The following is a 16,221-nucleotide window of genomic DNA, read 5'->3' as shown; positions in this document are numbered from 1 at the left end:
GACCAGAAAAGCTCATTTCGGGCAAACGCATGGAAGTCTTATGACTTTATTACACATTTAGAAAGTCAAGCTTGACCAGAAGAAAACAACCAATTAACCATCCACCTACCAATCAACCAGGCAGGGCCCCTCCTCATATTATTGAGGTGTGTAGTTGCTGAAGGCTTTAATAAAAATGCCAGCTGTCTTGTCAGACAGTTTCAACCATCACAATTTTCTGTTAAAAACAAAAACAGCTGATCTAATTCACTCCACCTGCATCACCACTGCCACAAAAATTTCCCTCCCACCTACCCCCATCTGCTATGCGGCCTCATTTTGGAGATTCCTTTAATAGTATGGGGGAGAATCTCCTTATAGCACATGACATCTCCTAGATCACTACCTTGGTTACCAATTTAAAATCTTCCAAGCAGCTGAAAGTTTAGAAACATCTCTGTTGTTTAAAATTCTCCAAATATAGCTCAAAACAGCCCTGGTCATTGTCAACTCAGTTCGTTAGTTGAGGAAATACCTAACAGTCAACTGGGAGCTAAGCCCTATGAACATGAGCCTGGCATGTGTGGATGTATGCAGGAAGAGAGATGCTACCAGAGGAAGAAGTGCCTTGAAAACAAAACCCACCTGCTGCATGTTTTTATCATAGCCAGTGCTCCAGGGTTCTAGTTTTTTTGTTTCTCACGGTAATTCATTCAACACATATTTGCCAAGCCCTTGCTGAGTATTAAATACCGAGCGAGGTTTTGCAGATACAGCAGTGAACGAAAGAGACTTAATTCCCGGCCTCAAGAAATTGACAATCTCATTTATAAAAAGAACTACAGCACACAATAAATTAATTATTCAATAAGCATTACTGAGCAGTAACCACAAGTGTGACTGAGGCAAAGTACAAGGCTCTAGGCAAGTGTGTAACTGGGGCATCTGATAAGGTTTGCAAGGCAGAGAAGAGCCCCACAAGGCATGCACCTAAATTAAGACAAGAGAACTTGTCATGTTGGATCCCTATTCACTTCAGTAGGGACAACACCAAGTTCAAGAAGCCAAGGAAGAGTCCCAGAACCAGCAAACAAGACACAGGGTTTTATCAGTGGGAAACTTACCCAAAGAGATGGTGCAGTGACAGCAGGCTAGACAAGAGAACCACCGTTGCTTGTTAAAAAGCATGCAGTTTGTACAGCACCTTCACTTAGCACCCTCTCCCAACAACCCCCACCTGGCAACCTTAATTTAACCCAACACAAAGGGCCTAGATCCACTGTCTGACCCAGGTTCCGGGGCGGTGGGGGGAAAACGGGCTGGGGGCTCAGGTGTTCCTCATAGATAAGGAATGAATCTCCAGGTTGGCCGCTCCCAGATTCCCGAGCTTGAAAACCACATTCAGATGTGTCTGCCATAAGGGCCATTCTCAGGGTCATTCTCAGGGTATGCTTACGTTGAGTTATTGCTATCAGATGTGTCTATCATGCACCACTAAATAGGAGTTAGTCTGACAAAGAGGTAGGCAAGAGCAGGCCAAAGGGAGAACAGCCACACCGAAAACCTTGAGGCCAGTGAGGCTTCCGCCCAGATCCTGAGAAGTGATGGTGGAGTAGGTAGGGGTTAGATCACGGGCTTATAAGGCCAATTTAAGAGTAACCTCCGTTTGCTGTCTTTGAGGCTCAAGTATGGTTTTTCTTTTTGTCTCGGTTGTCTGAACAAGAAATATCTGGAAAGAAGTATCTGATCTTTAGTGTGAGATGGCTGCATCATGTGAATGCATCCTAGAAATATCAATACAAAGAAGATAACTTTGCATTTCAAAATATAGGACTACATGACACTCCAGTAGCCCCTTCCCTACCTTCCCAGTTCCAAATACAGCTGCTGCACCATCCAAGAGATGCCCCCCAACCCCCTCCCCCTCCGCCTCTCAGAGCTTCCAGTAACTTCCATCAACTTGAGCTTCCTGACAGCTTGCCTAAGGCTACTTCTCTGTGGGAACAGAGCACAGCCTCTTAATGTTAACATCAGTTCCCTCTAAGAAGTTTAAATAGCACAAATGGCTTTAGTGTATCCTCTTTGGGTCTACATTCCTGCCATTTATTCATTTTAATTCCTTTCTCATTCATTTTAATCAGTGAAATACTTAGAAAAAAAAAAAAAAGAAAAGCTAGGAGAGGAAAATCCCAGAATTATAAGTTTAATAGTCCAAAAATGTATAAAAGATTTCAGTTATTTTAACTTCCCTTCCCCTAGTCAGATTCAACTAAAGGTACACAATAGAGAGAGTCAAGGTATTCCTCTAACATTTACAATATATGATTTTGCAGCTGAGTAAGAAATTGGCGGAAATCTTTCTGGTTCTGGCATTGCTGGAATTTGAGATACAGTGTGGTCTCCAGGGATGGGAGTTAAGTTCTGCCCTGGATTTCAACTCTGATTTAATTGCCAGTGGTAGTCGACAGCAGTCGTGATGATTCCTAGGCTGCAGGAAGGTGGTGAGTGGTCAGTGATAGGGCACAGGAGTGCTGCGTCATGGTAAGCATGCCACCCATTTCCCATCCCTGGCAGAGTTCTTGAGAAAATTCATGGGCTTTTGAGCTTGACAACCTGTGGTTGAATACTGGCTTAGCTATTTACCAGGTTTAGAATCTTGAAATTGAAAGGACAAGGACATAGAAGGGTCATTGGTCCTTCAGATCTTCAGGACTTCATTAGATTAAGTCACTAACATCTGCTCTGACCTGGGGAACATTTTTCCAGTCCTCACTACTGTATGCACACAAACATGGTCACTCGAACAGTAATAACTCACATTTGATTCATCTGTGGCCTTGCAGGATCACTTAACCTTTGGAAATTCTTTGCAAGTCTTTCTATAGGTCTCTATAAAGTCATCATCATAGGCGCATAAACAGGTCTATTCCTGCAAGTGCCTCTAGCCTATCAGGCTTAAAGGATCTTGCTGCCACTCCCAGAAGTAGCCCATTTCTCTTCAATATGCCCCATGGCAAAACAGTCCCCCACTAATGGTCTTGCAGGTACAGTGGGGACCACTGCTCCTCCATCAGGTATCACTCTGATCCCAGGAACCCTCTTAGTGCCTAGCTGGATCGTGATGTGTGGTGGACTTCTAAGAATGACTCACAGTGTGGGTCCTTCTGAGTGTAAGTGGAATCTGTAAATATGATGAGCTATCACTTCTGTGATTATGCTACCTTATTTGCAAAAGAAAGATTATCCGGGTGGGTCCAACATAAACCTAAGGAACTCTTTAAAAGCAGAGTTTTCGCCAGCTAATGGTAGAGAGAGAAGGCAGAGAGATTCAAAGCACAAGAAGGATTTGAGGTGCTGTTGCTTGCTTGAAGATGGATGGGCAACGTAGGGAGAAATGCAGGTGCCTCTAGAAGCTGAAAGTGGCTCCCAGATGACAGCCAGAAAAAACATGGGACCCTCAGCCCTGCAACTGCAAGGAACTTAATTCTGCCACAACCTGAATGAGCTCGATAGCAGATTTTTCCCCAGAACCTCCAGATAAGAGTCCAGCTCAACCAAGACCCTAACATCAGCTGCATGAGACCCTAAGCAGAGAACACGGCCAAGGCTGCCTGGACTTCTGACCTACAGAACTGTGACATAATGATGATGTCTGGTATTGTGTTACACAGGATAGAAAACTAATGCCTGGCAAAAGGGGAAGAACAACACTCCCACAGCAGTGTCGTTTCCGCACTCATATTTTATAGTTCAGGTAAATGAATCTTTCTGATCTTATTTACAACCTTATTGTTTTCCAAAGACCAGACATGTGTCCAGTGGGCATTGGGCCTAAAGACAGTCATTATACTGTTTTCAGAATTACCTTTCTCGGTTACTGGTTAAAACTCTTGTAGGCCTTATTTCTTTCTGACGAGTTCCTCTGGGAGGCTTTCCAGTTCCACCTTGAAGAGATGTACGAGGTTATCTTGATTCATTTACTCCTTCATTTATTCATTAAACAGTGGAAGCCCATCACATGCCAAGCTCTGTTCTAGGTTCTGGATACACAGAAGGAATGCATTAAAGTCCTATCTCTCATTTCCATAAGGGGCAAAGAGGCAAACAGATACATATCTATGTTGGGTGATGCCAAGTGCCATGAAGAAAAATAGAGCAGGATAAGGGGATTAAGAGCAACCCAAGAGTAGAGAACAAATTTTACAGAGTGGTCTGCAAAACCTGACAGGGTTGCTATCTGAGCAGGTGAAGAGTGAGCCATGCAGATGTGTGGGGGAAGAACATTGCGGTTGGGGGATTCAAGGATAAGGGTGCTGAAGTGGGGGAGTGCTTGGTACGTTTAAGGACTGACATTGCTGGAGAGAAATGAGCAAGGAGGAGAGAAGAAGCAAATGAAACTAGTAAAGTATCAGGGCTAGATCATGCCAGGCACTATAGGCCACTGAAGAACTTTGCATTTGACCCTGAATGAGATGGAAAACATTGGATGGATTTAAACAGATGAGTTTCATCATCTGACTTGCATTTCTGGGGTAGGGGAGATACAGGGGAGGAAAGATGAGCTAGTGGGCTAGTGCAGTAGTCCACTGAGAGTGGATGGTGGCTTGTCAGGGAGGTAGTAAGGGAGCTGATGAGAAGTTATTGGATTCTGGATATATTGGAAGATGGTGGTAACAGATTTGTGGATGTCTTACATATGGAAGGTAAATGAAAGAGAAGAGTCAAGAACAGCATATGCCTCTGTCTGAACTCCAGCAGTGGATGTGGCTGAAGTTGTTTTCCAGGAGACACTCAGGTTTCCAGTCTGTTCTACCAGTTCTCCAGGAGCCACCAAACATTCCTAAAGCCCATTGGTGACGTCCACACTTCACTGGAGACCCCTGCTTTGATGAATAAAAATGTGGACACAGCCAAGCTTCTGTTAGGAGGCAAGAACCCACCTAAGCTTCTGTTAGGTGAGGCAAAATCTTCCAAGAAACAAAGATCCCTGGCTCAGCAGTCAGTCTGTTTTTGTTAACCATGAAAGGGCAGAAAGAAGCATGACAGTGGTTCCTCAGGCCCTAATTCTAACACATTTATGCATTTCTGCCAAGCTCATTTGAGTATGACATTGAAGTATGAGTATGATGTCTGGAACTGGGTCCTAGGTGATCCTGAGTCTCAGCTGGAGAACTGGTCCAGAGAGTATTTCAAGGTTCTGTACCACTTCAACCTAATCATTGTTTTTGTATATGACAGAGAACAAGCCTTGGAATCCTGGCATTAAAATCACATGTGGTCTCTGAAGGTAGAGTGTCATTTTATGAACAAGAGGAGAAGTCTGAATAGAAGAAACCTTTTATATAGCTAAAAAGAGCTAGTCTATACAAAATGGTGCAGAGCCATTTCTCCCAGCTCTTCCCACTAAACACACTATAAAATTTGGAAATAGTGCAGTAGGCCCCAAAGAAGAGAAAAGGGTGGTAAAAACAAGGTGAGCTACTGTGGGATTCCAGGACTTGAGGAACAACACAAAAGGAAAGTGATGGGGCATCTCGCATCCCAAATCAGGCCAAGGGGCCAGCATGAGACAGCCAGTTACAGTAGGTGGTCAGCCCTAAAGCCTCTTGGTCCCCATGGTCCTGAGACTCTTCTCCCCAACTCAGAGACACTGGGTTGGGGGCAGGTGGGAAGAGGTGGAGCCCCAGCAACCAAACTGACCCAAATAATACCACAAAGGCTCAGAAAATTAAAAAGCTAAAAAAAAAAAAAAAACTTTAGCTCATAAATGATTCTGATATTTTTGTAGCTAAGGATTAATAGGACAGGCTGGCATATATGGCAGCGTTGAGCTGCAGGACTAATAAAATGTTCTCAGTAAAAGGTTTTATCTAGAAATAGAGATGTCCAGGTAGGGTTGCTAGCAGTGAAAGCCCTTAACCTTAGCTTTATATTTTAAACACAGGCAGATTGAGGTTAAATTGAAATACACAATTTTATTGGTGTACAGGAAGCTAGAAAGAGACATTGGTCTGTACAAAGCTCTAAAATAAAATTTGATTTTCAGCTAAGGTGCTTTGGGGGAATACACATCAAAGCAGCTTTTGAATAAAATTGAAATGTGCTTTTGAGCAACATTTCAGGGTAGTGGACCCCTACCTGTATCAACAAGGCCTTACTTTTTTCAGGCCAATTTAAATATGAAAATAGACCATCTTCCTGAATCAGACCAGAATTTAGGATTCTAGTGCCATCATGAAAAGTATTATTACAGATGAGCAATGAGAAACTTTGGATAGTTCCTAAACTGTCCATATCTGAAGCAATAAACATCATAAGGTTGCCAGTTATCTGAAACCAAGCTGGGGAAGAAAGTAAAGTGTCGAGGTGGGTGGGAAGAATGTTTGACATGTTCACCAACATTTCAAAGAAAACAGAGGTCAGATATGAGAAATTAGTTAAGGATTAACTCAAGAATGTGAAATAAAACATCCCATATGGAGTTGCTATGTAATCAGTCAAATAACCAAACTGTCTCTTCTTACCCTCCCTCTTCCAAGATAAGATCCCTTCATAAATGACCTGTTCTGTAAAGAACAGTGGGAAAAATTGGTTCTTATGAAAATGGATTTGAAGCGTTTTGTTTTTTGGTTTTTTTTTTTCCTTTTTGGAGACAAAGTCTCACTTTGTCACCCAGGCTGGAGTGCAGCAGCGCAATCTTGGCTCACTGCAACCTCCGCCTCCCAGGTTCGAGCAATTCTCTTGCCTCCGCCTCCCAAGTAGCTGGGACCACAGGCACACACCTCCATGCCTAGCTAATGTTTTGGTAGAGATGGGATTTCACCATGTTAGCCAGGCTGGTCTCAAACTCTTGGCCTCAAGTGATCCGTCCGCCTCAGCTTCCCAAAGTGCTGGGATTACAGGCATGAGCCACTGCGTCCAGCTGGAAAATCAATTTTGAATTTCAAGAAGAGAATTTCCCTAATAACACCCAGAGGTTTTGAAAACAAAAACTGTAGCTAATAAAATCTGGTTGGATATATGACTTTCACAATGAAAAAGACTCCAAAATCTGTTGTACTTTTGTAGAGAAGTATTTTTTCAATCAGTAAGAGTCTGAAGACCACCAAGTCTACAAAGGCTGAAACCTCTGTCAACTATTGAAACAACAACTAGAGTCATGCAGCCAACTGCTCCCTGGAGCATGATGAAGATGCTCACTGTCATCTCTCCAGCAACATCCCATGTGGTTTTCTGCAAGTGTCTTTGTCTTAATTTCTAAGACTTTAAAAATGTAAAGAATTTCTAGCTTGCTAAAGTCTGTATTAAAAGAATGGAATATAATCTGCCAGATTAAAAGTGAGTTTAGGGTTTTTTTGTGACTTTTTCTTCATTATAAAAATAGTACACACTCAATATTAAAAACCTTTGAAAATACAAAAATATATAAAGAAGAAAATGTTTAAAAACCCTTAATCTCACCATCTAACATTAAGTTCATTAAAAATTGGTTTGTATCTTTCCAGCATTTTCCCTAAACATGTAACTTTTTTAAAAATTGGAATCATGCTACATGAAAAGTATGTATCATTTTCCTCTTTATATCTTATTCTTCTATATCAATAAATATTTTTCAATACATGATTTTGAATCACCACAGACTATTCTATCTCATAGATGTACCATAATTATCATCCTTATCATTGAATATTTAGTTGACATCCAGTTTTCTCTATTAAGAGTTTTAGTGAATATCCTTGTATGTAAATATATTTTCTGCCTCTCTAATAATTTATTTCTGATTTGCTCACAGAATTAGAATGGCTGAGTCAAAGGGTATAATGTGTTTAAGGCCATGGGCTAACTGAAACACTGCTTTTTAGAGAGGTGAACTAGATTATACTCTAATCAGCCATGTGTAAGAATGCTTGCTTTACCATATCCTTGAAAGAAATGATTCTTAACAAATTCGTGGGTAGACTTCTGTTTCCAGCATCGGCCAACTAGATAGTTTCAAAGAAGCCTTCTGGCTGAGAATAACCAGAGAAGCAGGATAATATATATTTTAAAAATATTTTTAAAGACATGAGACCTATCAAGAAAGTAAGACTTGTGAGGCAAAGATATGGAAGAGGAGAAAACCAAAAAAATGTAAACCCACAATTCAGAGTCACGTTGATACTTACAGCTGTTACTGATGTTCAAAGTCAAGGTGGCAGCTAAGAGTCTGAGAAACAGAGAAGGGCTTTTAACAGCTCCAGATTTAACAGTCAAAACTTGGAAATCACTAAGAAGAAGGGGCCCTGGTAAGCACCCTGGGCTTTCAGGATTGGAGGCCTAAAATGCGTGGGTGAACCAGCAACAGACCACACCTCACACTTAAGTCAAGCTTGATTGGATTAAGGTCATCAACTTCCTTGCCTAAATGCCTGCCAGAAACAAAGTAAATCCTCTCTGGAGGGGATAGCATAATCCAGAGCCACAAATTATCTCTGCCATTTTTCATGAAAAATATCTGAAGAGTTCAATAAAGAATAAATAGGTATACAAAAAAGCAAGGCTAAAGAGAAAAAAAAGAGAGAAAAAGAAACAGAAACAGAGCAGCGACAACAAAAACAATCCAGATACTGTAGCTGTAAGACACAGCTAGATATGTTCAATAAATTAACAAGAAGTTCTGACAAGAGTTAGAACCAGAAAATATAAAAAATAATCAAATTACATTCTAAAGCTGAAAACTATCAGTGAAATATAAAACTCAATAGATGGAAACAACATAAATATCCATCAACAGATGAATAAATAAAATATGGTACATGTATACATTGTTATTCAGAAATAAAAACAAATGAAGACTGCTACATGGTACAACATGGATCCACCTTGAAAACTATGCTAAGTGAAAGAAACCAGCCACAAAATACCACATACTGCATGATTTCATTTATATAAAATGTCAAAAACAAGCAAATCTATAGAGACAGAAAGCAGACTAGTGGTTGCCCAGAGGTGGGCATGATGGGAGGTTAAGTGGTGATGACTAAGAGGTCAGGGTTTCTTTTCCAGGTAATAAAAATGTTCTAATAATGTTCTAAATGTAAAAAAGAAATGTGGTGATGGATACACAACCATGTAAATATACTAAAAGCCACTGAATTATACACTTTAAATGGGTGAATTGTATGGTGTGTGAATTAATGTCTCAATAAAGCTGTTTTAAAAAAATCCTCATAGCATGATTCCAAATGGATAGATTTAAAAGCCAATTAGGTACAGTTCAAGGTGCACGCCTCTTGTCCCAGCTACTTGAGAGGCTGAGGCAGGAGGAACACTTGGGCCCAATAGTTCGAGGTTACAGTGAGCTATGATCACACCATTGCACTCCAGCCTGGGTGATAGAGTGAGACCCTGTCTCTAAAAAAAAAGAAAAGAAAGGAAAAAGATACTATTAAAAAGATGTTTAGTAAACTGGAATATAGGCCAAAATAAAATGTATTGATTGACACAAAGGGACAAAAAGATGGAAAATACAGGAAAAAAACTTAAGAATTAAATGGGACATGGTGAAAAGTCTGACAGACCTATAATGGGAGTTCCAGGGAGAGAAAATAGAGCAAAAGTAACAGCTGAAGAAATAACGATGACCCTCAATGTTCCAACAGAAAAAGGATACTAACCAAGCTCCATTAGCCACAAGAAAGATACATAGAAGGAAATCACACCTAGAAAATATCACACTTAAAATTTTGAAAATAAAAACCAGGAGGAAATTAGAAAGGCAGGAAGATAAAGTCTCATTATAAAAAAAAAAAAAAAAGAAGATAAAGACATTTTTCAGTCAAACAAAGCTAAGGAAAAAAAACCACCACAGAAGCTTCACACTAAAGGAAATCCTTTTTTTTTTTTTTTTTTTTTTTTTTTTGAGATGGAGTCTCGCTCTTATCGCCCAGGCTGGAGTGTAGTGGCAAGATCTTAGTGCACTGCAACTTCTACCTCCCGGGTTCAAGCAATTCTCCTGCCTCTGCCTCCTAAGTAGCTGGGATTACAGGCGCCCGCCATCATGCCCAGCTAATTTTTGTACTTTTAGTAGAGACGAGGTTTCGCCACATTGGGCAGGCAGGCTGGTCTCGAACTCCTGACCTCAGGTGATCTGCCCACCGTGGCCTCCCAAATTGCTGGGATTACAGGTGTGAGCCACCGCACCCAGCCAATACTGACGTATTCTTTAAGTTGAAGAAAGATGACTTCTCAATGAAGCAAGGAGATGCCAAAAGGAGTAACAACCAATAGAACTAGTGACAATATGGGTAAATGTAAAAGAATACTGACTCTATAACACAATCGCATCCTCTAGGATTTAAAATTTATATAGAATCAACACACATGACAACAATATCACGTAAGTTGATGGAGAGGGAATAGATTTAAAGTCCTTACATTGTCTGGGAGAGGTAAAGGCATTGTTTTATTTTCTAAAAAGTCAGTAATTTAAGATAACTACTAAAATAACATAAATATTAACAGAGAACATTTGAATTATGAGAAATAATTCAAAAGAGTCAATAAAGATTAGAAAAAGAAAGATAACAAGTGGGAAAAATAGCCTTTACTAAAATATATCAGTAAATACATAAATCTATACTAAATACTGAAAATGAAATATAAAGACTGGTAGATTAGACTTAATAAAAATCAGCCATATATTGCTGATAGGAAACAGGTACTAATTATAAGAGCATTTAAATATTGAAAGTAAAGAATTGTGTGATGTGTGAATCCATTGGTCAGATAAAAAAAGAAGGAAGAGATAGGACATTGGAATTTTGAGCAAAGAATTAGCTGCTACAATTTATTAAATATCAGGAAAATAAACATTGAGGCAGGGTTAATTACCAGAGATAAATAAGGATGTTTCACAAGATAAAATGGTTAATCCACCAGGATCACATACAATTCTGAAGTTATATGTACCTAACCCATATTTGTATGAAAAATATGTAAAGCCAAAATAACAGAAGTAAAAGGACATGTAAAAAATTCACAATTACAATGAGAGATTATAACATAACTCTCTCAATAACAGATAGAACAAGCAAACAATACATCAGTAAGGATACAGATTAGTGCAACAGGATTACAAAACGTGGCCTAATTGACATATTTAGAACACTGAACACAATTTCAGAATGCACATTTTTTTCAAGTGCACACAGAATATTTACCAAAATTGACCATATGTTGGAGAATGGGGCAGGTCTCAAAAATTTCAAAGAAAAAAAAAAAATCATACATGCTGTATTCCCAGGGGACTCTAAAATTCACCTAGAAATTAAAAACAAACAATAACTAGAAAATATATCTGGAAATTAAGAAATCCAATGCTAAATAACCCAAGATTCAAATAAAAAATTATAATGCAAATTAGAAAATATTTTGAACTAAATGATAATGAAAATATATCAAAGCTTATGAATCACAGTCAAAGCCTTATTTAGAGGGAAATTTATGGCTTAATAAGCCAGTCAAGAAGAACTGGAAATCAATTTATCTGAGAAACTATTTCAAGAAGTTTTTAAAAAGCAAATTAAATTTAAATAAAAAATAAAAGATATTACTGAAATAAACATAGGAGAGGAGAAACTAAGACAAAAAGTTGGTTCATTCAGTAGACTAATAGCCTAGATCAGGAATAAAATAACTTCTTCTGTAAAGGACCAGATAAAAAAAATTTTTTTTTTTTTTTTTTTTTTGGTCTTTGCAGACTTTACGGTCTCTGTGAAACTCCTCATCTCTGGCATTGTGGTGCTGCTATAGATAATATACAAATGAATAAGTATGATTGTGTCCCAACAAAACTTTATTTTATAAAAACAGACACAAGGCTAGAGTTGGCCCAGGGCTGGAGCTGGCCAGCCCAAAAAAATGAGCCCTGGTCAGGGGTGTGAGTTTCTATAGAGAGCGCTCACACAACTAAAATTAGGGCTGAGAAAGCGTACATTATTACAGGTCCCATTAGACATTAGAAAGCTCATAAGAGATCATTGTGAACAACTTTGGGCCGATTAATTTAAAATTTTAGATGAAATAAACCCTAAGGAAAGTGCAACTTATCAAAACGAAATGCAAACTCAAAATAGTTCTGTATCTATTGAAACCTTCCCTTAATGAAAATTCTAGATCCAGAATTCACCAGTGACTTCCATGAAATATTTATGGAAAAAATTACATAAAATAGACAAATTCTGTAAAGTATTAAAAGAGACAATACTCACCAAATCATTTTATGAGGACAGCATAACACTGAAACCAAAATTTGCCAGTGACATTACAATAAAACTAGAGCTCCAGCTCTCTCATTTACACAGATGCAATAAATGATATACAAAATTTTAGTAAATCAAATATAGCAAACTACAAAAATGATAACACACCATGAACAATTTGGGTTTAAGAAAAAAAGTTGGATTTCACATTCAAAAATCAATGTATTGAATGAAATGTATGTGTTGAATGTATGTATTGAAATCATTGTATTGAAAATGACTTCCAAACCATGGCCTCTAGGGAGGAGACACTCATCTTGCAACTGAAGTTGCCCAGCAGGAGGAGGAGCTCAGTTCGCGGAAGCAGACACCGGTGGAGGCTTCTGTTAAAGCACGAGCCAGAGCCTGAGCCCGAGCCCCTGGTTCGGTCTTCCGAAGGCCACCAAGTCGAGACTGCGCTCAGCCAACAGCTAGTGCTGCCTGCGCTGGCATGGCTGAAGTTTGCACACAACGACTATGTACCAGCAGTGCGGGCTGCAGTTTGAGGGGCTGGCTGGCCTGCTGGGCCTTGGCCTTTTCTGCTTCTGCTACCTCACCTTGGCCATGGATGCGTTCCCTAAGTCCGGGCCCTCACGACACTGCGCTGATCTGGCCTGCTGCTAGGACCTGATGGTGACTGTTCAGACAACATGCCGTTCACCACGTGGTTAATAAATGCTGGCCAACCTCTCCTGTGCTTGGGGGACCACGTGATAGTCTACCACTTGCTATCCCTTCCTCTTCCCCCAAACCACTTCCAACCGGGCAGATGGAGCGTGGGTGGGGGGAACATCAGGGGGTGGCAGTGAGACAGGGGTCAACATGTAGGGTTGCCTGCGGATGCTGGAAGTGCTGAGATCTCTGCTGTTTGGGCCTCTTTGCAGTAGCAGCCTGTTGCTCTTGTGCCCTAATTGGTTCCTTCCTGCCGGTTCATGGTCTAGCTGACTTCAAGAATGAAGAAGTGGACCTCCCCTGTGAGTGTTACAGCTCTGAAAGGTGGCACGGACCCAAAGAGTGACCAGCAGCAAGATTTACTGTAAAGAGCGAGAGAACAAAGCTACCACAGCCTGGAAAGGGACTAGTGGGTTGCTGTTGGCTTGTTGTGGGCGGCCAGCTTTTATTCCCTTATTTGTCCCGGCCCACCTCCTGCTGATTGGTCCATTTTACAGAGATCTGATTGGTCCATTTTGCAGTGTGCTGATTGGTCCATTTCACAGAGTGCTGATTGGTCCATTTTACAAACCTCTAGCTAGCCGCAGAGCACTGATTGGCTCATTTTACAAACCTCTAGCTAGCCACAGAGCGCTGATTGGCACGTTTTACAATCCTAACTACAGAGTGCTGATTGGTGCATTTTACAATCCTCCTGTAAGATAGAAAAGTTATCCAAGTCCCCACCCAACCTAGAAGTCCAACTGGCTTCACCTCTCACTCTTAGATGTGTTCATAGGGTATTTCCATAGTATACAGTTGCAGTGTGCTTGTGGGGCCTGCCCACAGTGACAGATCTGGAAGACTACAAGGCCTTCTGTGGGTCCTCAGTGCTGCTCCCTGCAGTTGCTGAGGATTGGATTTCTATCACAGACTATAAGCCACTTCTGGATTCTGAGACAACCAACCTTACGGGGGACATCAGGCCTCAAATGGTGGTGGATATGTGTCATTTGACTCATGCCCTACACATCCCTTTGAAATCTTTAAAATAGAGAAATACCAAAGAGCCTGAAACTGATAAGAGAAGCAATCCCAGAAGGGAAGCCAGGCAAACAGGAAGAGGCAACTCTTCCCTTTTATGTGATTTGCAAACTGAGCAAAGCTTCCCAGAAAGCCTTGAAGATCCTACAGTTCTTAACAGCGACCCAAGAGTTAGACTGTAACAGTTCAGGATGTTGTGGTGGGGCTTCATGGCCTGAGCTGCCAAAATTGATTAAACATTTCTGCAGTATATGGTATAGTCTGACCTGAGAAAGATGTGGATTACCGTAGTACTCGAACATCGATTCCTTTGCATTTTTCAGAGAAGAGCCTGGAATTCTACAATATCTGTAATTATATGGACTTCTTTTGTAAGGAGCTCTTTGTAGTTTACCAGATAGTCATTTTATGCCTGGAATTGAAGTGTAATAAACTTAGTCTTACTGAATTGATCACAGATGATATACTTAAAGGCAGTTTACTGTTTAGTAAGGCATTCTTTGGGTCTTCTCATTCAAATGATAGACTGTATCCTCAGAAATAAGTGTTTTAATATGTAAATTTTCTTAACTATCAGAGAAGTCATTTCATTAAACATTTTGAATTAATATCAAAGTGGGATATTGATAGGTTAGGAAGATAAAGGAAACAACCTTTGTAGTCTGTCAGTTTCCCTCACAAATTACTAATGTTTTCCTAAAGTTAGCCTCAGAGTCCACCTTATGTTGTACATATATAACATTTTCTAAACTATGTACCATGGTCTCACTTGCTTTGGAATCTTTAAGTTCAAACTTCCCCCCACCCCCCGTCCTTTAATTCATCTTTTCTGTTTTCGTTCAATTTATATTATTCAGCATTCTATAACCATGTAAAATTTAGGTGTTTTTGTTTATTTACATACTAAACAACATTTTCACCAAATTGCAGATAGTCTGCCCAGATTCAAAACTATACAACAAAATTAGAAGGAGAAATTTGATATGTGACTATCAGTGGCAAATTTAAGAACACGTCTTGTAAAAAAGGGATCTTTATTCTCCAGCCGATTTTGCATTAAGGCCCATTACCAACTTTTTTAAAAAAGAGAAGGCAGAAATCACAGATGTAAATGTAAAATTTTTGTATCCCTGGTGAAGAATTAAGAAAAAACAAAAGCTTAAAACTACTGTGGACCAGATAAAACCATCTACAGCCAGATTTACCCTACTGGTCACCCGTTTGCAACCCCTGGAATGGGCTCTTGTTTTATTTTAAAAGCCTGTGTTGCTTAACAATCAACTTCGAAATTGAGATAGTCATCACTTTTTCATTGTGGAATATATTGTAATTCATGCTTTGAATAGGTAGGCTTTAAGTATCCTATGCCCTTCTCTGTTATGAAGATGGAACAGGCCACTTATGACTACTTCTCTCGAGGAGTTGTAGAAATAAATGACAGTCAGATAGGGGAGAACAAAAACAAAAAAATCAAAAATAACAAAACAAAAACCTCTTTGTTCACAAAGAATAGAAAGGAATATCCTGTATCTATTAAAGAATACCTATCCAAACCTACAACAATCCTCACAGCTAATGGTAAATTGTTGAAAGATTTTGCTCTGAGCTTTGAAATGAATCAAGGACTCTTGACATCACCACTTATATTCATATTGTAATAAAGATTATAGCCAGTACAATGCAGCCAGAATAATAAATAAATATTTAAGAGTTGGAGAGGAAAAAATAAAACAACTGGTTGCTTTTTTCTTTTTATTCTAGAAGGTAAGATTATATATGTACAAAGTTCAAAGTAACCTAAAGCTACTAAAATTTATGATTTATAAGTACTAGTTTCAGGGTAAATATACCAATTATATATCTTTGTACTAGAAAAAAAGGAAAATAAAACTTTTAAAGAGATTCCATTTGCAATAACATCCCATTTGTAATAAATATGAAAAAAATCTAAAAATATATATGTAAAACCTTTACATAGGAAACAATAAAACATTACTGAGATAAGTTAGAAAATATCTAAATAAGTGGAGAGATATACCATACAAGGGGTCTTCACAAAGTTCATGGAAAATGTGTATTATGAAAAAACTATGAATGGATTTCAAAATCTTTTTGCACAAAAATAAACTTGTACTAGTTATAACATGTCTGAACCGAATCCTATTTGATGCACTAAGAAGTATAAGACGTCAGTTTGAAAAGAGCTTCTTTCAGGGAAATAATTTATCTTGTTTGCACTCTAATCGAAGAAGACCAACAAGAGCAG

The 16,221-nt window shown here is 39.3% G+C and overlaps 1 pseudogene, besides 1 other annotated feature; it reads left to right on the top strand.

The window, feature by feature from the left end:
- Positions 1,704 to 2,209: an enhancer, noted in NCBI's record as "NANOG hESC enhancer chr13:43765633-43766138 (GRCh37/hg19 assembly coordinates)". NCBI's record gives its function as "activates a minimal SCP1, AML or CMV promoter by ChIP-STARR-seq in naive H9 embryonic stem cells {active_cell/tissue: H9 hESC(naive)}" and the evidence as "EXISTENCE:reporter gene assay evidence [ECO:0000049][PMID:30033119]".
- Positions 13,698 to 14,206, top strand: MOCS3P2 (molybdenum cofactor synthesis 3 pseudogene 2; annotated as a pseudogene).

Source organism: Homo sapiens, chromosome 13, assembly GCF_000001405.40.
Source record: "Homo sapiens chromosome 13, GRCh38.p14 Primary Assembly".
NCBI classification, from domain to species: domain Eukaryota; kingdom Metazoa; phylum Chordata; class Mammalia; order Primates; family Hominidae; genus Homo; species Homo sapiens.
The sequence above is the reverse complement of the archived record's forward strand: the minus strand, read 5'-3'. Positions and strand labels throughout refer to the sequence as shown.